The sequence below is a fragment of the Homo sapiens genome, chromosome 10 (assembly GCF_000001405.40).
Source record: "Homo sapiens chromosome 10, GRCh38.p14 Primary Assembly".
In the NCBI taxonomy this organism is placed as follows: Eukaryota; Metazoa; Chordata; class Mammalia; order Primates; family Hominidae; genus Homo; species Homo sapiens.
Window position 1 is genome coordinate 76430715 of NC_000010.11, and position 24828 is coordinate 76455542.

The 24828-nt window shown below is 39.6% G+C and overlaps 1 protein-coding gene across 3 annotated transcripts in view, besides 1 other annotated feature; it reads left to right on the plus strand.

Moving 5' to 3' along the window:
* LRMDA (leucine rich melanocyte differentiation associated) overlaps positions 1 to 24828 on the plus strand; it is a 1128545-nt gene that overhangs the window by 999091 nt on the left and 104626 nt on the right. The gene's annotated exons all lie outside the window — the stretch shown is intronic.
* Positions 2399 to 3096: an enhancer, noted in NCBI's record as "H3K27ac hESC enhancer chr10:78192871-78193568 (GRCh37/hg19 assembly coordinates)". NCBI's record gives its function as "activates a minimal SCP1, AML or CMV promoter by ChIP-STARR-seq in naive H9 embryonic stem cells {active_cell/tissue: H9 hESC(naive)}" and the evidence as "EXISTENCE:reporter gene assay evidence [ECO:0000049][PMID:30033119]".

Genomic DNA, 24828 nt, shown 5'->3' on the forward strand with positions numbered 1-24828 from the left:
ACCTAAGGGAGCTAGAATGTTCAGAGGAAATGTTAACCCAAGGGTGGTCCAAGGGTGGCAGTATAGAATATAGAGTTTCAGATAGGGTCAGTGAGTGATTTCAACCTCCTAATTGTCCCACAACCCCCTCCTCTGCCTCCACAAATTCAAGGCCAAAGCTTTCTGAGTATTTTTTCCATTGAATAGTATCTGGAGTAGAGATTATATCCATTTCTCCATCTGGATAGTTTTTTCCTAATGAATTAAAAACCACCTAATAGACTTCAGGGACACTAGGAAGACTCTGATGATTTCAAGAATTCATAATCCTTATTCTATGCTGACATTGAAATTTTACAAGTGGAGCTTTATCTCTACAGTTCAAGGCTTTGGTTTCTGGTGAAAAATATGTCTCTCCCTGGGAGGAAGAAGCAGATTAACCTATTATCAGTTATTTACATCTGGGTGGAAAAAAAAGATCTAAATATTTTCTGAATGCTTTAAGTAGAGAACAAGCAAGATAATAACTAGGTGCTTGGGGAGTGAATTTACGTGTTTGAGGCGGGCTGATGCAGAGAGGAGCATGGATGCGAACGGGCCCATAACTAGGAGCTTTTTGCTGTTGAAAAGCAACTTTGCTGACTGCACAGTTTGTGTGAGCCCTCCTACAGCTCAGTTCTCTCCTCACATCAGCCTGCTTCCCTGGGTGACGACAGTGTTAAAAGCACAGACTTCAGAGTTAGACTGCATAAGTTCAAATCACTTCTCTACTACTTGCAAATTCTGGGGCTTGAGAAAGTCACTAGTCTCCTGTATGTAGCTCAGTTTTCTCATTTTTAAAAGTGACAATAATGGTGCCTTGCTCTAGGGCAGTTATAAATGTAACATCCTCATAATAACCAATAATAAGAGTATAATCAGTGCTGCCTGTTGTTATTATCCCAGTGGATGATAACTTAGACCTATGCTGGATTCGTTGTCATTGGTGATGGTGGTGGTGCTGTGGATGATAAAGAGATGATAGATCCTGATATGGTTTGGTTGTGTCCCCACCTAATTCTCAACTTGAATTCCCACATGTTGTGGGAGGAACCTGGTGGGAGGTAATTGAATAATGGGGGTGGTCTCCCGTGCTGTTCACATGATAGCGAATAAGTTTCACAAGATTTTATGGCTTTAAAAAACGGGAATTTCCCTGTACAAGCTCCCTTCTCTTGTCTGCTGCCATGTGAGACATGCCTTTCACCTTCTGCCATGATTGTGAGGCCTCCCCAGCCACGTGAAACTGTAAGTCCAATAAACCTCTTTATTTTGTAAATTGTCCAGTCTCAGGTATGTCTTTATCAGCAGTGTGAAAATGGACTAATACAGATCCTAAATATAGCAAGTGTACTGGTGCTTAATTTCCCTTTGTAAAACTTGAGTCCTGGCTGATTATCTCCAAACTTTCCCTTGACTTCTTTCCCTGTATTTTAGTTCCAGTGTGTATAAAAGTGAAAGCTGAACTTTCTGAAATGTCGTGGGTGTGGGCCTGGGGGTGCTGCTGGTGTGGTGCTCCTTTACTGGCTCTGTCTTGCCATAGATCTCCACAGAGCCCTGAGCTGTAGGGCTGTTGATGACAAAAAGAGAACATAAAATGCTAGAGGAAAGATCATTCTAACACGGTGCAAATCCCCAAACCTTCCCTACAATTTCTCTGTCTCCCATGCCTCACCCAAAGCAACATTTGGCCTAGAAGGGAACTTTGAGATGATCTGGCCCCATGCCTTTCACACTGAGCTATGCGGAATTCTAGCATTCCAATGAGACTTGTCAGAGGTGCAGGGGGAACAAGTGGTGACCCATCAGGGTGGAGCTAACAGGGCTCCCAAAGCTGGCTTCCAAATCCATTTTTATCCATTCAATACACTGGGGTCTAAAGGAAAATATCATTTAATGAAAAAATTTTATTGTCTAATGTAACAACAGAAGGTTCAAGCATCAGTGATCTAGTCCATCTTGTTCATTTTACAGATGAGGCGCAGAATAGGCTTATCACTGGCTCATGTCACTGCCAGTTAGTCATGGACCCTAGCCTTGAAATTGCTCTTTGGAAACCCCACTGTTTCCAGTATTGTGTCTGCATAGTGGCTTCCACGGGCCGAGGGCTCACCTCATTGCCCCCTCCCCACATGCCCTAGCTGGTCTCTTGAATGACTATAGCACTAGCATGTGGTGGCCATGTGTGCCACCAGTGCCACCACCCTAATGGCAGCTGTGATTATCAGCACAGAGGCCCAGGAAGAAGGACAGAATGGACTGCTGGCGGATGAATTGGGAGGGGAGGGAATGGGCAGAAGTGGAGCCACATTGAACTCAGAAGTATAAGTGAAGAACCCACTATAATGTTGCATGGGGCCTTGTTCAGCAAAGGAAGATTGCTGTCTCCCAGTCCAGTGCAGCTGAATTAAGTGATCTGGCCAGGGTGGCAGTGGGGCCTGTGTTCCTTCTCACAGGTATCTGTGTTAATGGGCACCCCTGCCTGGAGCCGCCAGTGTAGCTGCTTGGATTTCTTATTCTTTTATTTCCATCCTGTCTCCTTGTTTTCTGTCACTGTGTCATGTCAAATCATTGTCAGGTGGCAGACACCACACCCCCCAAGTACAAAGGTATCAGGTTTCAGGACACAGGCTGAAATGAATATAATAATGGGAGCCAGAACGAGGCACAGACCACTTAGCAGGCAAGGAAACAGCTAATAAGTGTTGTTAGTGGTTTCCATGGGGAGGACCTGGCGTGCATTTCTTGGACAGGCAGGTGGAGCACGGCCTGTCCTGGGGTCCAGCTACAGACAGGCTTGTGCGATTAGTATTGATGCCTGTCACTTTGTGGCTGCCAAGCTGTTGATTCTGTGAAAGACCAAAGACTCTGGTTATCTGGTAATCAACACTGCTCTCAGGAACGCACTGGGGAAACAGAAATAGGCTTTCCTGAGTATTGACTGAAGCCATGGATCATGTTGCTGGTTTGTGTTTTCCTCTAGCCCCAGCCCTGAGATTGCTCCAGCCTGTTCTTCACCTGCAGTGCCAGGTAACCATTCTTATTTGTCATGGGATCAAATTCTAACCCTCTTAGAGTGAGCCCATCCAAATGCTCTGACTCAGCTGAACACTGATGTAACCAGGGTGACTTGGGCGACAGCATAGGAAATAAGAATGCATTTGCATGTCAAGGTGGAAATTCAGTCTCTCACCTTTGACAAATTCCCACACCTTTGACAAATTCCCAAATCCAAATGCATGGTTGACGCTTAGGCTTCTTCTTATCCCACTCCACCTCACCTTTGCTTTTTTAAAGGCTCTTTAAAAATATAAACATTAAAATCCAAAAGGGTTAGTAACAGAAGAATAAAAAATATAATTCGTTTTCTCTCCTAATTCATTTTCTTGGTAACTGTTGCCTTCTCATATCCTCTTCTTTCTTTCTTTTTTGTATTCAAGAACTTTAATATCTTATTTTTCCAAAACATCAATGTCCTGATTATAGTGAACCTTGAACAGACATCTCCTCCTGCCCATGGAAAATGAGTTCTGACTTTTCTTGGGTTTTGTTAAGTTTTAATCTCTTTTTTTCTCTCTCTCTTTCTTATTTACTCTCTCTCTCTCTCTTTAATTTTCTTCCTTTCTCTCCCCTCCTATCTCTTCACTCCCTCTTTCTCTCCCCTTTTTCTCCCACTCCCCTTCCCAAAGCTAAAAAATGCTGAAACATGATTGCTTCTTTCTTTCTTATGTAAGGAGCAATGGGAACTGAGGTTACACAGAATGTGTCACAAACTGGATATCACCACTTAGCTAACCCATAAATCCACCCACTTACCTACCCACCCATCAGTTCATCCATCCATGAGTACCTTAGGCCATCCACTCATCCATCTGTCCATCCATCCATTCATTCATCCATCCATCCAATAAGTGCCACTGAGCATTTACCATTGGCCAGGCTCTGGCAAGATGCTCAGGATACAACAATAAATGAGCTTTCCATCTTCAAAGAGCTCACCATCTAGAAAAATAAAACCAGTGCTGGATGGTAAGTGATCTGTGATAAATGGTATGGATATATGTATGTGTGTGTGAATGTGTATACCTACCTGTACACGCACACACTGCCACCCAACCATTAAGTGTCTGCTTGGCTTTTGAGTTGTATTCATTTGTAGATTAATCAAACAACTCTTCATTAATGCCAGTAGCCAGGCACTGTGTTAGGAGTTGGGTTTACAGAGGTAATTAAGATACAGACCCTTCTTATTCTTAAGTTTCTCATGAAACACAGCCTGGATTATCCTTCCCTCCCACCCTGCCACGTTTCTGCCCCATAAACTAGACCATTCTCTGGTAATCTACTTAGTTTTTTAGATAAACTAAGAATAATCTATATGACATAGTCCTTCCCAGTACTTAAGGAAGGGAAAGTATCATTGAATATATCACTTGCAAAGGAGCTTAGAGATTATCGGCCCAAGCACATCTCTTTGTGAATGAGAACACTGAGGCTCTGGAGGAGATGAAGTGACTTCTCCAGGCCACACAGGAAGGCATTGGCAGAACTATAACTTGGCCTTGCCAAGATGTGGCCTTTCAGTCCTTCCCAATGTTCTCACCCCAAGTTTCTCTTTCATGAGGCCCCAGAAGCTGCTTAGATTCAGACAGGCCACTAGAGGCTGATGCAGTCATCTGAGGCCATGGCATGTTACCTCTCAGAGCAGAAGGGAGAGGCTTCCCTCTGTGGAGGGGACTGAGAAGGCTACCCATGACTCTGAATCAAGAGTGGTTTTATAAGTCAAGCACTTTGTCTTCCTGCTCTTCAGAGAAGCTAAAACAAGAAATAACCAAAAGGAGACAATGTCTGGGTCAGCAACTGATTACATTTTTGATGTCACACTGCCTTCTGGGTTGGGAGAAGTTGAAAGACTTCATAGAATCACCCCCGCTCATCTTATTCTTGGTGAATACTCTTCACACAAATGTCCCAAGTGCCATGCTCATAGAGGGGTTGGTGCTTGGGTCATCAGTACCTTAGGCCATAGCAGTTCTCAGAAGACATTATCCAGAAGCAAAAAGCCATTATCTAGAAGCAAAGTTCAGGAATGAAGATTCGGTCTCTCATAGGTCCTGCTAACACTTATCTTTCTGGCAAAGGATAATGATAAAAAGACCGAACAGATGACAAAAAGAAAGCCTACATTCCAGATGGATTGTGAGGGTTAGGGAGAAACTGGGCTGAAGCAAAATGCTTTAATTTTTGGGATATTGGTTATTTCCCCAGTTTTTACTTTAAATCTGTTGCTCCAGAAATAAAAGGACACGCTAGGCTTTAGTTATATGAAAACATGATATTGGTTCTGTATGCTGAGAGGAGCCAGAGGTGGGTTGAGAGCCCAGCTCTGTGGTGATGGGCCTTGGAACCATGTCTCTGATGTTCTCATGTGAGAAGCAGATGAGTAGAGGTTGGTGGCAGAGTTAGTGAAATAGAGGCTGGCTCCCGCTTCCCACAGTGCTCAGGGACAAATGTGGAGTATATTAATAAATGCAGAGTCATTAATGCTTTCTGTGAGTGAAAAATAAGTGTGTGAAGAAAAGACTCCATTGTCATTGGACTGTAAATGGTGAAAGGGTGGAAAATGAAACCAGGCTTGTGTTGCCCTCCTAGGATGGCTGTGATGACCCAGGCCACTTGGGGTTCCACATGAGCCCTGTGGAATGTGGGCTGGGCCACCTGCAGGTCAGGCTGTTCATGCTGTTGCCCTCACCTTCTCTACGGGTTTCAAAGTGAACCCTTGTGCAGGGAGGTGTGGCACTCCCTGTGCCTTTGCTTCTCAAGCTGCTGAGTGACAGTGACAAGATGCTGGCTTTGGAGCAGGCACTACAGGTTCCTATGCGGAGAGCATCGGTGCTCAGGGAAGGGAAATCCACCCCTGTGCTCTTCACACCCAGACAGATGCTCACAGGTTCCAGGGATATACAGGGACATTTCTAAATCTGTCTTGGACGTCCATTCACTTTATCTTTAGCCATGGAATGCTGACAAGTATTCAGTACGGTTGAGTGACCTTCTATAGGTCAGAGCAGGCTGTGTTCTGATTGAGTTTAGAAAACTCATAACTCTGGCCAAGCCTTCAATTGGTCAGGTGGATGGGGCTTTGTTAGGGGAGACTGCAGCCAGAGCCAGTGTCGCCCACCTTCCTTCTCCCTCCACCTACCTGAGCTGCCAGTCCCTTCCCACTCCTCAAACAGGACTTCTCTGGTTTGTGAACACATTTTCTCCTCTTGGTGTGCAGAGCTTTTGGTTCCAGCCCTGTCAGATAGTGATGGCACAGACCCAGTGGTCTTTTAATCATAGCAATGGGCTCATTGCTTTGAACTTGCATAGTCTAAAAAAATAAATAAATAAAACAGGACCAGCAAGAACAGCTGGAAGAAATAGAAGGAACTTGAGTTTAAAAAGTTGGACACAGCGATGGATCCAGGCTCAGCTGGTCTCATTCCTCTGCCTGAACAGCTTAGCAGACCAGATAACAAAGAATCCTTTTGCAGCTGTTTTTCTTCAAGTTAGAGAATTTTAGAGCCACAAAGGAAACTGGAGATTATCTTTATAGATGAAGAATCTGATGTCCAAAGAAATTTTCCAAGGTTAAAGAGATATCTGTTGCCAGAGCCAAGATAAGAGCACAGCTTCTTCCAACACCTTAATTTTATTGTTTTGTTTTGATTGTTTTCCTTTCAGTTAGCCCCCTAGGAAATGTTTATTGAGGACCTACTGTGCTCAAAGTTCTGGGCAGGCTTCTCTGGGTAAATCCTGAATTCAGGTGTGTACATCTGGTGAGGAAAACAGTAAACAAGAGTAAAATAAGACAGTCAGGCAAGAGAAGACAATGCCCAGAATCCAGTGACATTCACACCAAGGCTTAAAGTGCAACAGAAAATGTGACAGCAGAGGAACCAGGAAAACCTTTCCGGAAGGAGCCCTGGGAAGAGCAGAATGGGTGCATTCACCACCTCTCCTCACCTACTTTGGGATGCTCATTTGATTGAATTTGTAACAAACAAGGCCTTTGGGTCAGTCCTGCTTCTTCCACCAACCTAAGGGATGATGGTCATTGCTAAAGCTTCCTCTGAGCCAGTCCTTCGCCAAGTGGCTTTACCTGTTTATTTTATTTGGTCCTCATAACAACCATAAGGTAGGTTGTATCACTGATTTTCAGATGAGGAAACTGAAGAGCAGGGAAGCTAGTGACTTATCGCAAGTCACTCACCTAGTCAGCGGCAACTCTCTGTTATTGATGGGGCTTCACTTACCCTTAGTGTGAAACAGAAGTGTCCTTGAGATCACATATGCCCAAAGACATTATCAAAACACAGACGTGTGGTGATGCAGGAAGCCTGAGAACCCTTGGCATCTGTGCTTTTCACATGTAGAAGGAAGAATCTCATTGCTTGGACATGAGGGGATATAAGCAGCGGGTCAGGGCCCAGCATCACACTGAATAGAGCTCCAGGAGGCTCACAGGACCCTCATCAGAGGCTCTCTGTGTGTTTTATGGTTGATTGAGCTTTATGACCCCAAAGAATCCGTTATTTGTTTTCTTTATAGCAGGCCTCAAACACTGGGCTTTGGTTATTCTTTAAACTTACAATACTCATTGCATGACAGAATTATTTTTCATTTCTCTCTTTCTTTCAGAGCCTTGGAATCCCATTAGGAAATTTCTAGTACAAGCATTTGTGGGAGATACTAGTACTCGGGTTGGGCATCTGGGAGAGATAGACAAGCTCTTATTACAGCATGGAGGATGGGGAGATTACCTGGCCAAGTATCATTTCAGGTTGTGGCAGAAAGAGATTAGCTCCAATTTATCACCGCTCACATTTTCCTCTTTTCCCCCGTTTTCTGAGTGTCATGGAAATGATATTTGTGAATCCCAGGGGCCTCTCACAGTGGTGTCAGTTTAGAGATCTTCCCAGATACATCTAAATGTGGACATAAAATGTAATGGGAAGAAATTGAAAAAATATCTGTTTCTCGATTCTTTATTACTGTGGAGTTAAGAAAGCTATTTCTCATGCCGTTTCATAAATTTGAATCCAAATGTATATGTTAATGTGTATTCAGATGGCTTTTGGATGATTCAAACATGCAGACTCTTTTTTTTAATAAAGTTTGTCAAATTTCTGGCAATTTAGAGATACATGTTTAGACAATGTATATGTGCATACCTGCCATATGTACATACACTGTGTTGTCAAAATTGAGCCTAAGTGAACTATGATGAAAATTTAAAATAAGTAAGCTTATGATGAATACTTAGTAGTTGAACTCAGTATTTGATTTGTAAAATATAAACATGAGTGAAATTAATTTTTGGCTGCTTAGTCCATTAATATTTTACCTAAATTAAATTTGAATCTAACAAAGACAAACATACACATTTCTCTCCAGGTCTATTATTATCTCTGTGACACAAAAGCACAGAGGGAGAGTTCAGACTCTAAAAGAAATGCAGTAGCAAGCCCCAAAGAGAATTTTTTTAAATTTCAGGGAAGGTTTTATGAGACAGGAAAGCTCAAAGACATATCTGTGACATTTAAATGTCTACCATCAGCTTGTTTCCTAATATTGCCATTAGTTTTGCTAATTAGGGCCAATTACTTAATGCTTGCCTGGGTTGTGGTTGGGTTGAGGGTGCATGGTGGTTCATGCACAATCTGTTCTTCTGATTCAAAAACACCATTCTCTCCTTGCACTGCTTGATCCTTAGCAGGGAAAGCGCCCAGTTAGAAGATGTGCCTAAACTAACACAAAGGAAAGGTGTTGTCTCTGAAGTTTAGAAAGAATTCAGTGAGCTCCTAACCTCACTCAAGTGAGTTTGAACCACAGGACCAAGCTGGCTGAGTGATCTCAGGATTAGACAAGAAGATCAGGAGTGCTCCTTGATCCTCACTGCTGGCTGCAGGCTCTCAAAGTGCCACTGCGCCTGCACCCAGTGCTTCTGAGAGGTGCCAGCAGGGATGGATGGTAACAGTGGTAGTCCCCTGTGCTAAATGCAGGCGTATGGGTGGGGAATATCTTTTGGGGTTTCCCTCTAAATAGTGTCATATCTGAAATCTCAGAAACAGAAGAACAGTCAGCATCATGTCTTCTGAACCAATGCTGATCAGGAAGGTTCTTTACGGCAGAGTTTTCGAACTGTAGGGTATAGAACGACCCCTTGGGGAAGTCTTTAAAAATCTTACCCATCACTCACCAGAAGTTCTGATTCCCAAGGTTGGGAGTAAAGTGTAGGAGCTCACCTCACTCTTGGTTGCATCTCATGAGCTACATTCCTCAAGCTTAAGTAACTGACACTGTACATAGATCGTTAAGTTAAAGATACAAGAGCGATTAAGAATCCAGCATAATCTGTAAGTCAGTGATACCAAGGGTATGGGAGGCAATGAGGGCAAAGAGAGTGGTGCAGTCTGGGAAGGCCTCTGGAAAGGTTTGGAACTTGAGCAAAGCTCATTGGCCATGTAAGATTTAGATAATATCAGGCAATAGTGAATGGGATGAGTCCTATCATTTGTGGACAAATTGACTAAACAATCACAATGCACATAATTTCAAATGGCCAAATAAATAATCTTCATAGTCATGGTTCAGGGTGGGTAAAATATTGAGGGTATTACTTCTCACCCCAAAATGGCCTCCATTTCCCTAATACCCCATCTAGACCTGAAATAAGGTCAGCCCTCTTTTAGTTTCGCTGAGTTCAGTAGAACTGTCTGTAACTAGCTTTGCAACTGATCTTGTACAAGGCAATTAACTTCACTTAGTCTGATCTTCCCTCGTTTGTATAATGGGAGGGTTGTGGTGGATGATTTCAGATCCCTTTCACTCTAGCATTCCATTTGACCCAGTTAAATGCTTCTCATTATTACATGACTGGAAATAGGCCAGGTCAAATGATGCCCCTTCAAGCAGAACCATCAGATCCGGCTGTACACGGTAAAGATGGATATTAGACTGCTCAACTTATCATCATTAGTCCCGTAGTCTCATAATGGGAATGCACTATAGTTCATATCTGTCATAGTTAGTATTTGGAAGACTCAAAGCTGGTGAGATTATTCACATATTTATTCCTGTGTACCGCATATGCCACCCCACGTCTCCCCTTCATCATGTGTCTATGACAATATATTGAACAGAAAATCTCCATCAGCTGACTCTGACAGAGTGTATTATTTACAGTGGTGTCAAAATGTGCTGCTTATAATTGACTGGGCTCATAATAAACCAACCTAAGAATCTTTTCTTCTCATATTCCTTCTTACTGGTAAATCTTCCGCTTGCATTCCTTCCTTCCATCAACACCTTCTTCATTATTTACAGAGGAGGGAACACACACCAGATGGTGCATGAGTGATATTGTAGGGTGACTCTTTCATCTTGGGAAGGCCTCTCTCTCTTCTCTCTCTTTCTCTCTGACTTAAGATTTTGCTGTGGTAATTAAGGGTGAGAGAAATCAAGTCAATTGGACTTAGTTTCTAAAGCAAACAGAATACACTTCTCCATTTCTCTGAGCTTCAGGAGACAATGTGGGGTGACACTAATAGTTGCATGGGCAATTTCATTTTTTATCCTCATGTTTTCACTTACTATCTGTGAAACCTCGAGAAAATTACTGACCTTCTATGTGCCACGGTTATGTCATCTGTAAAATGGGGATACTGATAGTATCTAACCCATAGGAATGTTGGGACTGTTAAACAAGTAATGCACATAAAGGGCTAAACCCAAACTAAGAACAACAACAAATACACCTAGGCCAAGGCACACATAAAGTACGGTCATTCATGTTCCCCATTCATCAATAGAGAGCCCCCTAAAATGTTCCTGTACCAGAATGTGTTTGGAATTGCACAGGGGGAGTGGCAGCCTTTCCAGCCCCCATCCAGCAGGATGTGGATGTGCGAGGCTCTGCCCCCCTCTCCTCTCCCCAGCTGTGTACCTCCTCTTGTTCTTCTTTCAAAGACTCATTACACTTGGCATACACATGAGATTCTTACCTAGCCTGAGGAAGATTTCCAATTTTTATTTTGTGGCTCCAATAATCATAGGTATTAAGTATGACTGCCTCTCCTAGGCTAACCTGCAAAAGCCAGAGGCTGGGTTTCTGTGGCACCGTGCTCACTGAAGCAGTATTTTCCTAGTCATAGCAGCCACCTCCCATCTGCCACCTCGTCTCTCTGCCTGGAATATCCAGAAACACTTTGGTGTATTATTCCCACATTTAAATGGACAAAGTTTGCTCATAGAAAGTACTAATTTTGATGAGCATTTCTTTTTAATTTAATTGCTCTGATGAAAACCCTCATAATCATGTAATTCTTAAAGATTAGTGTAAGGTTATTGCCCTGAAAATATGTCTAGTTTGGCACACAGGGTAAATACGTGATTATTGCTAACCCTTGGTTTTACGCAAGAAAATTATCATTATCCATCAAAGCAAAAATGTTTAGTAGAATGAAGTAACTGACGGAAAAAATGCCTGAACATGGGGTCCTGTGACTGAGATTGATGGAACACTTATCATGTGGCTTTAATCCCAGACATTTGCATATTTTCTCACAACCTTGCTTCTCCTCTCAGAGGTTTAGGTTCTTAGCTTAAAATGAGAAGGTAAAACTAAATCATAGGCCAGATGTGGTGGCTTACACCTATAATCCTAGCGCTTTGGGAGGCTTAGGCAGAAGACTGCTTGAGCCCAGGAGTTCGAGACCAGCCTGGGCACATAGTGAGACCCTGTCTCTACAAATAAAACATAAAAAATTATCTGGGCATGGTGACATGTGCCTGTGGTCCCAGCTACTCAGGAGGCTGGGGTTAGAAGATTGCTTGAGTGGGGAGGTGAAGGCTGCAGTGAGCTGTGAACACACCACTGCACTGGGTGGAGTCACAGAGTGAGACCCTATCTCAAAAACCCCCATAAAAACCAATACATAAATCATATGTATAGTCAAGTATTTTATCTTAAAAATCAGTTGATTTCTCTTTTTAGGCGTGCATAGAAATATTTGTTTGCTGAGCTTCTGCGACAAGTCTTACGTAATGAATAAACTCTGGTGTTCAGTTGTCTTCTAATATAGAACATTTTAATTTCTGAGGGAAGATGCAATCATTCTTCCATTTGTGTGATTTCTTTATTTGGATGGACATAAGTGAAGATTTACTCCACCTAGGTCTCAAAAAATTGTTCAATTTTACGGTATACAAAAACATAATAGTGGACTAATCTTATTTAACTGATGAGGAAACTGAGGCAAAAACACGGCCAAGGATGAATTAGCTATGGAGTCAGGAATAGGATTGGGGTGCCTTCATTCCTAGCACAGTGTTTCTTCACCTGTACCTCCTAGAATCATGAAAGCCATAAGGTACCTGGTACCTGAACTTAGATCAAACAGCTTTAAGACAAACAGATGTGTACAGTTTCAAATGCAAAACCCAACATGAACATATTTGTTTGGTTTAAGGGGGCTTTCTATTTTGCATTCTCTTGCAAATGCTGTTTTCCAAAATGCTTACCGTTCAAGTTGGGTAATAGCCATCCTTCCATTGACTGATCATCCACTACCGGCTCTTGACTCTGGCATCACATCTTCGAGATAATCCGAGCTAGAGTTTGGCTGTCATCTAGAATTCACAGTTTTAGTTTAGCACTTTGCTGACTAGTACTTTGCGGATTAGATAATGGTAGTTAGCTTTCTGAGACTCTGGGATGGCAAGCACATGGGCCATGATATTTGTAGTAGCTAGTGTTATATTGAGAAAAACTAAGGGGTCTCACCAGATGAAACCATCTTTAATATCACTTTGCTAGCTATCAATACAGCATAGTGTAGAGTTTAAAGTGCTTTATCCACATTTACATTTCAACCACAGCCTTGTTCCCTCTAGACATGGTAGGTGAGATTTTTCATATGCCTATCACCACCAGCTATATAGATTTGTAACTTACCATGGGTTGTAAGGTTATATTTTGGCATTTCAGAAGCTGTCCTCATTGGATGCCAGAATATTTGAAATCTTTTGGAATAAACAAGTAATTGGTTCTGTGAGAGCTTATGAGTTAAAATTAACTTAATATTACCCTTCTGGGTTTATATTGGTTTCTTCTCCTGATTTTTATTTTATTAAGCACCTTTCTAAGTCCTGGTAAGGTTGGGTGTATGGACAAGGAAACCTTCTACTTGGATGAAAGAAAGCCCCATGGAAGGCTGAGTGGATGAGCGCCGACTCACCTTGGTATTTAACATGACTACAGAATGGATAGGTCTTCACTTCTCAGGCCTCTGCTTCCCATTCCACAAAACCAAAGCTTTGTTCAGCTATTCCCTGGGTGGGGTGTTTGCCTTTCCTCTGAGAAAATATGCTGGCATTATAGAAAAGGGAGTTGAGGGGTGCGGTTTTCCTCTGGCATAGATCACTTTCATCTAATCTGAACCTCATAGAAAGCCTCTGCTGATTCAGAGGACAATGACTTTGACCTATTTATTTCAAGGACCCACCCAGGCTCAGCCCAGCAAAGGAGTACACAGTGCTTGCTCAGAACACAGCTGAAAGAGGAGGTGGTGTTCAATGGGAATCACAAAGGCTATGGTAGAAGTGAGTAATGAGAGCTGGGCTCGAGCCCTGGTCTGAGTTCAGTGTGGATGTTTAAAGGCGACCATTCTTAAGAGGCAAGAGAATTCGATACTGGGTTCAAATCTCAATTTTATTTTAAAAGTGCATCAGTAACTTGTAGCTCATTTGATGGCCTGCAGCCCAGCTTGTTTAGAAATCCCTTCTATTCTCTCTGGTACTCCAAGTCCCAAAGAATCTGTTCTGATGGTGTGGTTACACAACCAGCCAAGCACAGCCTTAGGTTGCTCTCAACTCAGAACTCACCCTATCACACGTTGACGAATGCAAGAGCCTGTTAGAGACACTGGAACCCAAGATGGTGAGTAATACTAAACAAAGGCCAAACTCTCTAAAATGCTTAGGCCAGGAAGAAGGACAATGGGGAAAAAAAGTTTGGATCAGTATGTATATGTGTGTGTGTATCTGTATGTGTACTATATGTGTGTGCATAGTGTATACATATGTGCATATATTTGTAATATGTAAAAATTATATCTATAATTGTATTCATGTACATATATACATATATGTTCATGTGTACATATATATGTATATTTATATCCATATATATTTATATTCATATGTGTATATAGGTATTCCCATCGTATGTGCATGTATAGTGTGCCTATGAAGGACAAAGCGCGGTGCAAAGCACTGTGGGGAATACTTGGTAGATTAAGACACAGGTCTTCCTCTCAAGGATCTAGAGGGCATGTAGTTATTAAAAGCTGTTAACTATCCCAGGAATGCCTACCCTTCTCCATGATTTGGTAGCTGATATAGGATAATTTGCCCCTGGATTTTGTGAATAATAAAGAACAGAAGGCTGGTATCACAACACTTGCTGTGGTCAGTTTCTCTCCTCTCTCCTGAAAGGCAGTAATCACATTTTCTAGTTGTACTGCCTGCTTTTAGAAAAGGTCTCTGCTGCTATCCAACCAGCACAGTCCCTCTTTGCTTCAGGGTCTTGGCAAGAGCAGGTTCTGATTCTGAAGCATTAACATTCTTCAGGGCTCTGACTCCCCTCAGAGGTCTGTTTGCTTCTGACCCTGCAGATGCAGGGCATCACGGATGTTTATTTGTCTGTTACCTAAACTCAGGACACATGCACAGCAGTAAATTCTTCATTTGCCAGAGTTAATCACAGCCATGCTATAGCTTATATCATTCCCACTGCCCATTGGGAAAGCCTTGAAAATATAGATGGGATTTGTTCTCCAGCAAATAAGTTCAACAAACCAGATTGGTGAGACTACACAGAGGGAGAGGTTTGAGTTGGAGTCCCTCCTTGGGTAATATCTTATTCCATTCCTGCCAAGGATCAAATTTAAGACTTGCTGCATTCCAAAAAAATAGACTAGTGACAACTTGGAGTGGAGGGAAACAAGAAAAGGTTCTGTTTGTTTGCTTTTTCATTAAACATTTTTAAAAATTAAGAAGTAATGGAGAAAAATATAATGTTACTCATGTTTTCCCAATTCAACTGAATATGAAAAAGTGCTAACATTTTGTCATATGGACTTCAGATCATTTTTATTATTAAGAAATAAAATATTTAGAAATAACTGAAGTCCCTCACATTCCTCTCCCTAGTCCCAGCTTCCCCAAAGCAAATATTGTCATGCATTTGGTGTGTAGCTAGTCCTTTTATCCTTTTATTGCGTAGATCTGTATACAGCTATAAATAGTATACGGCATTGTTTTAGTACTTTTAAAAATTATTATCACAGTGTTATACTATACCTTTTAACAATGTGTTTTTATTTTATCAACATTGCGTTTTTCAGAATTATCTGTGTTGAGGTATATACATTGTGTTCACTCATTTTAACTGCTATACAGTACTCCATCATATAAATTTGATGCAGCTTATTTATTCATTCCTACACAGATGATCATTTCCAAATTTTTGCTATTGTGAGCAAAGCTGCAATGCACACCCATATATAGTCAACCCTCCATATCCATGGTTTTTCATCTGTGGATTTAACTGTGGATTGAAAATATTTGAAAAATAATTGTGTCTGTACTGAACATGAAACAGACTTATTTTCTTGTCATTATTCCCTAATAATGAGTTCTACAGATATCTTCTATGTCAAGATTGCTAATCATGCTGCTTTTTCTTCTAAATTTAATTTTTTCTTAATATTTTGTAACCATGTTTATGTGTTTCTCATAAAGGTGTTTTATTAATGAAGTTAAGCTAGTAACTAGTACTTCCAAAATCTAGTAGGTTAACACAACAAAAATCTTGTACAAAGTGAGCTATGTAATTGTGTGATTCCTGCAGTCCACTTGGTGACTCACAGATCCAGGTTTTCATCTCAAGAAAAAGCAGGTTGGAGCTGCCACGTTGCGTGGAAAACTTACACCCACTTACTTATGCTTTGGCTGGGAAGTGGCACATGTTAATTCCACTCAGAGCCCTTTGGGCAGACCTGCCTTGTATTTCTAGGTGCAGAGTGGTCTTTATTTATTATGCTCAGCTGAGTTGGTGTGTGCCTTTAGTGTGAGAATTTAGAGTTTTCCTTAGTTATGGAAAAGTTCTCTATTGTTAGCTGTTTAAATTGCTTCTCAGTAGTCCTGCTGTGGCCTAAATTCTGGAAATTGTGTTCGGTATATGTTGGAGACTCCATACTACTTGATTTCTTTCTTTTTTTTTTTTAACCTCATTATGTCTCAGTGCTGCACTCAGAATTATTTCCTCACTACTGCCTTCCAGTTCACTAGTGTTCTCTTTAACCATGGAAACTCTTGCGTTAATTTCATTTATAGAGTTTGGAGATTTCAATTATATTATTTCTGTCTTCTAGTTTCTATATTGATTATTTTGTTAGTCATTTTTCTCATTTTATATCTATTAGTTTACATAGTGCTTTCTTATTCAAAAGGATATTATCTTTTACTTTAAGTATTTTTTAAGGTTTTTCAGAGACAATTATGTGCACTTTTTTCTGTAGTCAAATTTTCCTCTGATTGTTGAGTTCTGTGGATATCTTCTTGGTTCTGTTTTTCCTTATTGGTTTTGAATTTTAGGTTGCTTGCTCATCTAGAGTGAAAATTATCTTTAAAAATAAACCTTTAAATATCCATCATGTTTTGCAGATTTTCAGTAGTTTCCATGTGGCTCCCTGAGAATCTCAGGCCAGAAACAACTTCTATGTTAGTGGACTAGGATTCCTGTCTCATAGTGGTATTGGGGATATTGCAGATCCAGTACTTAGCAGCTTGTCACATATCTGGTCTGTGTGACTTGCTCTGTTCATTCCTGTCTCACATGTACATGGTGATATAGTTCACAGCCTTAATTTTTCTCATTTTACCCATTCAGGTTGGAGACCCTACGAGTTTTATGCTGTGAGTCAGGCTTGTGTCCCTAAATCAGTGTTCAGTGACAGCCTTCTCTTTGCCTTTGTCTGTTTCTAACCTAGAGTTCAACAACCCCATGGTTCCAGCATTTTTTCCTTGATGTCTGTTTCAGTACTTTTCCAGTGTATAAGAGATATTCATCTTGTATTGGGTATAGATACAACTTCTAATTTTTGAAATTTCAGCTAGAATTGCTTTTTGTGGTGTAGCAAGGAAAATGTATTGAATGTTTAAGTTTACAATGTTATCTTGACTAGAAATCTTTTACATTTATTTTAAAGAGTTTATTTTGATAGTAAAAGAATAGATGTTCATTAACATCTTGAAAAGCATATAGAAAATATTTAAATAACCAAAAATATAACTGCATAAAATAATTACAGTTAACATGTCAGTGTGTTGTCATCTATATTTTGCTTTTCACTGAATAGAATTCACACTATATATTTCGTTTTATATCCTTCTCTTTTATACCAGCCATTATAGGGTGGATTTACCATGCCATAAAATAATCTTCAAAAGCAATTTTTTTAACAGCCCCTTAATGTCCCAACATATGGAGGTACTATAAAAACATAAATCATCCAAATTTTAATATCTCTCTTAGCATAAATTAACAAGTAATTACTTAGTAAAAGAGTATGAATATTTGTAAGGCACTTGATACATAATGAAACATTTTGATCCAAATACGCTATTTCCAATTTACATTCCAATGGTAGCGTAATCATTCTCTAGCCAGTACTAGGTATTTTCTCTCCAATTTTACCAGTAGGATAGATGAAAAGTGCCGTCTGTTGACATGTTAGTGCTCTGAAATATTCCGATATCTCTTTTGATATTATTTCTTAAATTCTAATTCTTTAGCTGTATTTTTTTCTAAATGAGACTCTAGATTCCTCTCCTTTTCTGGTTTTCCCAGAGAACCTGTTTTAATATTTTCCATTTTTCATGATTTTTGCTTACATGCATTTTTTCTTCTTTAGCCTTTTGTTGTGCAAGCATTCTTATTTTATGACTCTTTAGGCTGATTGTTTAATTAATTAATTTTAGTAATCTCCTGTCAATTCACAGGCTTACATGCTTTGTTAACTTCTGAGTCTATATTCTGTAAGTCTTGATATGAATTTGCTTATTTTCATTTATTTCCAAAGTAGGTATAGCAGATGTTTATTTACTTTGTGATCTAATGTTTATTGAGGAAATCCCCAGATTTATTTCATCTTTTAACTTAGATTTCTGACATTATAATTTTATTAAATTGAAGTTTGAGAATACAGTTTTTTTCTTTCAAGAACTTTATCAAATATACTAAATGAATTGACAAATTTTAAAATGCCTCAGGGGTATTTGAAAAGAACTTACATTTTCTTTTTGAAGGGTATAAGGAAATATATGTATATATATGAGTTTATGTATTTATTTATAATTATGTTATTCAAAGATTTCATTCCTTTTAATATTTGTTTAATCTGGCTGACAATTGTATAATATTTTTCAGCTCTTCACTTCTGGTAGTTTTTGCTAAATAGATTTTGGTGTTTGATGAATATATTATATGTGTCATAAGTTATATGTCCTTTATATCTTCATTGCAGAGGATTCCTTTTCTCAGCACAAAATATTATCTTCTTTTCCCAGATATTGCTTTCTGACTTATATATTGTTGCTATCATTGTTTTTTGCAAGACTTTCTCGTATACTATTGTTTCAATAAAACCATCTTTTACATTTTATTTAAATATTTTTGGTGAGCTGTATGTACTTGATTTTGTAACACCTATTAGGAAAACTTAAGGCATTCATATCTGTTGCTATAGCATATATTTGGGCTTAATTTTATAACTTTGTTTAATGCTTTCTTGCTTTTTCCTTTTTATTCTGGGTTTTGTCTGTTTTCATCTTATGTAGAGGTTTGGAAGATCAAAATATTTTCATTAATTGTACTAGTGATAATCCTTTTGTTTATAAACTATATACTAAATCCTATATTCCTCTGTCAAATTCAAGTACCAGTTTCTAATGAGAAATGTAAATTATCTGGACTTTTCCTGACTTTCTACTTCTCTGTATTTATCAGTGTTTATTCCTTTTACCTGGTGTTATGCTATCAACATTTTATGATAAAATCCTGATTTTTAAAAATATATGACTTTTCCAGACTTTGAATTTAATTTTGTGCCCATGTTACAACAGTTCTTCATATGTTTTCCTAAAAAGTTAATTGATTTCAAAGTTCCTTGCCATTTTCTTTATAGTTTAGCTATTGCAGTCTTGATTTCACAGTCTTGAGTTCTTGATTTCTCTTTTTCTTTATTAGTTGACAGACATTCATTTTTCGTGTGCTTTCTCAGGAAGAGAATAAAAATGATTAATGTTTTTATGATTTTAAGCTTAGTAAAATGTCTTCCTGCAACCTTTTTACATGAACAACTTGGACATAAACCTCTTAAGTTATAGACTTTTCTAGTCATTGCTCTGGACAAATCGTTTCATTGTCTTCTGACATTTATTTGATTTTGCAAAGAAGGGTGAGGCCAGCCTTATTTTTGCTACTTTAGAGATAAGCTCTCATTCCTCTTTTCATTTTTGTAGGATTTTAAATTTATCATTGAGATTTAAAACACAATAGAACTTCCCTAATATTTCTAGTCACTAAAAAAGTTCATTTCATTTGGTTCTCACTAAGCCATTTTATTTAAAGCCTTATAAGCATATAAAACTTATAAAGTCTTTCTCTGGGGCAATTTCTATTTTATTAATTCTTTTGTGATAAATTTTCTGTTCCTTCCTCAGTAACACTTCATCTGGATCTAAATTGTCCTCCACGTCTGTCATCTTCTCTTCTATATTTTTCCTCGGAATATTGAGAAATATTCTTTAAATTTTCTTCCACATTATTATTTTACATTGTTTCAGTTTTACTTCTGTTTATATTGCCTCAAATATGGACTTTCATTTTACCATTGGATTTTGGGTTTCCTAGGTTAATTTCTTAATTCGGCCAGTTTACTAATTATCTCTTCATTCATCTCAGAATAATTTTTCCTTTGACACTCTGATTCTCTTTTACAGAGTCTGTTTTACAGAGTTTTTGAGGATAGCAAACAGATGAGTTCTAAATCTTGCTTTTGTCTCATGTAAAAATAAAATTTCAAATATATCCTCCTCATCTGAGTCAACATGGAAGAGCTCCTATTCTAGATGATATTGTTGTCTTTTTTTGTAGAATCCATAGTGGCAGATGTATACATATGTTTTTCTATGCTCATTTTTGAATAGGGATTGTTGTGCTCTAAGACCAACAAGCAGGTTCTGTGGCATGTTCCTTGCTTCTATGTCACTCTAATTTGGTAGGATTCTACTCTTGAAGTTTGAAGTGATGTACTTAATTTGGGATGTCTAGGAAGCATTCTTCTGTGTGTTTCTGATTTGCATTTTTTTTTTTTTGAGACAGAGTCTCGCTCTATCGCCCAGGCTGGAGTGCAGTGGTGTGATCTCGGCTCACTGCAAGCTCTGCCTCCCAGGTTCATGCCATTCTCCTGCCTAAGCCTCCCAAGTAGCTGGGACTACAGGTGCCTGCCACCATGCCTGGCTAATTTTTTTGTTATATTTTCAGTACAGACGGGGTTTCACCGTGTTTGCCAGGATGGGCTTGATCTCCTGACCTCGTGATCCGCCCGCCTCGGCCTCCCAAAGTGCTGGGATTACAGGCGTGAGCCACTGCACCCGGCCTCTGATTTGCATTTTTATAGACTTTTATTGACAGCTGGATATTTTGAGCAAGCTAGGGAGCCAGATATACTTTTCCATTTTCCTTTGAACGGTGCTGCATGTGAAGACTATGTTCTTCAGGAAGTGCTTCTCCAATGCTTTTTTTTTTTTTTTTTTGTGGAGGAGGGTGGTGGACAGAGTTTCAATCTTGTTGCCCTGGCTGGAGTGCAATGGTGTGCTCTTGTCTCAACACAACCTCCACCTCTTGGGTACAAGTGATTCTCCTGCCTCAGCCTCCCGAGTAGCTGGGATTACAGGCATGTGCCACCACACCCAGCAAATTTTGTATTTTTAGTTGAGATGGGGTTTCTCCATGTTGGTCAGGCTGGTCTCGATCTCCCGACCTCAGGTGATCTGCCCACCTCGGCCTCCCAAAATGCTGGGATTACAGGCGTGAGCCACCATGCCTGGCCCGATGCTTTGTCTTTACCCATTTATAATTATTTTCTTCAAAGGAATGACCTATCCCTAAAATCTTCCTGTATTTTCTTCATTGCTTGATTGAGGAAGTATGAAGAGAATTCTAGCCCTCTATGGCTCTGAGGTCACTTATCAGATGGCTCATCAGTGTGGACAGGAAGTGGGTGGCATCTTGACATGCTTTAAGTCAACTAGATTGTGTATGCCTATGTCCTATGCTCTTATTTTGCTTCTTCAAATACACCTAAGTGTGAGGGAGCATTCAATTTGGATGTAGACAATAATATATGGTAAGAAGCTCTGGGATCTGGGTCAGGGCCTCAAGGTCCATCTGATTGCAGCAGGGATGTGGGAAGGCCATGTGGGGTCCAGAACACTTAACTCTCTTTTAAATGAAACACCTAATCACTCACCTGTTTCTGCTGCCCTCAGAATTTTAGAAAATCACTGAAATGGAATGAAATTAAAACTTACCTACTCCAACTCCTTTAACAGGCAGATGGTGTGAAATTTAAGATGGGAACTGAATGAAAAAAAAAAAGATATCCATCAGGTAAAGATGAGAACAGAGGATGCAGATGGCTAGAAAGCTGGTACAAAGATGTGAAGTAGAGGGTCTAAAAGAAAGCCAGGAATAGTTGACGTATAGTGGGCTAGCAAGAAAATGGAAAGCAGTGTCCAGGAAGAAGATATTTTTATGTTGGGGTAAGGAGTTTGGATTTAATTAAAGTGTTATTGGAAGGCCCTGGGGGAGGATGGTTTAAAAAGTTAAGTAACCTAATATGATCAGTTAACAGCAAAATGTTTATGTATTTGTTTTATTCACTCATACACTTGTATATTCTTTCATTCAATAAGTAAACTCATATTTATCAAATAACCACTACATGTGATGGAGTTATATCCTAGGATTCCAAATTCCTAGTATAAGGGGTATTTCTATTATGCCATGCAACTTCTCTACTGGACAGTAAACTTTGTGTGAACAGGGTCTGGACTTCTATATATTTGAATCTCCTAAGACTTCAACAGTCATAGGAGTACCTGACTTATGGTAGCCCCTAAATAAATATACTTGATAGATGAATGATAAGTAATATTCTATAATGTTCACAGAGGTCTCTGAAATAGAAGAATATTTCTAAAGCACAGTTAAAGATAGTCATCATTAGCAGTGACCAGGATTCCCTGCAGGGCACAGTTCCATAAAGCTCTTGTAAGGACTGATCAGTGGGTTGGATCCATTGACTCTTTTAATCAGGCTAAATATGCTGTCCCTTCTATGCATATATTTGCTGGGATTCTGCCATGCCAGTACTAGTTTGGCCATGTTGATATGAAAGAGTAAGGATTTGTCTATTTAGTTGCCAACTAAGGTGTAATGAAATCTCATGGCAAAGTGTATATGAATTCAAATAGGAGCCAAGCCCTTCACCTCTACTGTGGGTTATATGACATACAGAGTCTTCTTGAAACATGTATTCCCAAGACTTTCAACAGTGCAACATCTGTTTTACTTTGAGGGGGCTATGATAAGCATCTGCTTAGAGGAATGATCTGAACAAAACCAGGGCACATTTGTTTGCCATGCTATAGATTATCTAGTCTTACATTGTTAATGAATAAATCATGCAGGATGGATAAACCGGTAACCACAACAGCATGTTTCATACTGCATTTAAGACATTAATTTATGCATTCATATATTTTTCCTGTAGACACTAAAAAATTTATGTTTTAAATAGAAGATCACATGGATTTTGATGTAGCTCAGCAGTTGGATGTAGATTCCAGAAATTCCTTTATTAAATTAGAGCCCAGTTGGCTGATTAGGGTTCTAATGTTCATAATTGTACCATTTGATGCATTAAGATAAGTGAGCCAAAGATAAAAATATAGTGTTTTATGAGAACATAAAATGCATATCTATGTACATATTCCATGTTTGTATGAGACATTACATTTAATCCTCAAAACTCATTTCAAAGTTCATGTCGTGAACGTTTACAAAAGTTCAGGAACCTCTTAAAGTCACATAGGCAATTAGTAGCAGAGTCTGAACTGAGAATCACATCTTCTCAGGCATAATCTAGTTTTCCTGGCTTACCACGACAACCGTTTCATTGATAAGTTATTTTGAAATCACATTTGGGGGCCATCACTCACATGTAGTATGAAGCTAAATCTAGAACAACATTCATTTTGAATTCTTTGGTCTGGTACACATAAATAGTTCTTAGGATGAATCACATAGATGGAGGAGAAAGATAGACAAAACGTTGATCTTTGGGTGATTGCATTGAGGATTCTAATCTCTACTGACGTGCTAAATGTTGGAATTGAACTAAAAAGAGTCACTAATCATATTACTTCCATAGTGAAAGTAGCAGTGTCTGCATTGTATGCTCTTTTGTTGTTTAATGCAGACTCCCTAAAAAGGCAGATTTTGGTCACTCCGAGGCTGCATTATTCTTTGTACCAACTTGGCTATCCTAAAACGAGCAAAACAAGCAAGCAGAGAATCGAGACATAGTAAATAAACATTCTTAAAACCCACATGTTCCTTTAAACATAAAGAAAAAAAATGACCCAGTGAGAATTGGAGGTGATTTGGGTCTGCATTCGCTCAGCTAGACCAAGCTGTTCTCACCGCCACCCCCCACCCCGCCCGACTTTGACTTCCTTTTTATTTGTATCTTCCATTTCCTTTCCCTGGGCCAGATGTGTGGATTCCCCTGTTGTGCCCAATGACAGAGTAGACTTTTCTGGAAACTGCCAGGACTATTTGTAATCTCCTGACTTTACAGAGGTCTCATATGCTGAGAAGGACAAATTCTGATGTTTCACAGCAACAGGAAGAGGGTTAGGGATGTTGAGAGAAGGACAATTTGGGTGGAGTTTTCACATATGTTTCTCTTTGATGGAGAATCCAGGGCAGGGATCTGGTTTGACTGGGGCCAAGTTGTATTTCTGCTCTCTTTATTCCATGTGACTTGAGAGAGCAACCACATGAGTACAGAGTTTTAGTTTGGAGCATGACTTCCTCATCCTAGAATGCCAGAGTCGGAGAGGCCATTAAAGGTCATGTTGTCCAACTTCCCATAAAATTAATTTTAGATGAAGTCTGCAGGAGAGAGTAAGAGAGCCTCTGTTTATAGAAGAAATTGTCTCCTAGAATCTAAAACTGTCTGTTGCCCATTGGATCAACATCTATGGCCACCCAGAATTGGTGAATATTATAGAAAGAAAGTGTGGGATGGTGTTAAAGGACATTAGTTCAACTCGTCACCCAACGCCCAAATCCCTTGATTAGAAATGGAAAATATAAGATATATTGATGGTATTGAATTGGTATGAAATTCTGAAGGTTTTAAAATGCTGTTTATCCCCAAGACCAAAATAAGTGAATCCTAGGCTCGGCTGGTCACCTCTTCCTGCAAGGTCCTGAGGTAAGAGTATGCATCGATGCTAATCCCTGATGGGATGAGACTTTGATATTAGCCAGGGCCTTTAGGAATACACCCCAGTAAAAACACTGATGGGCTAGGATGAATGTCACAGGAGGCTCCTTACCTTAGT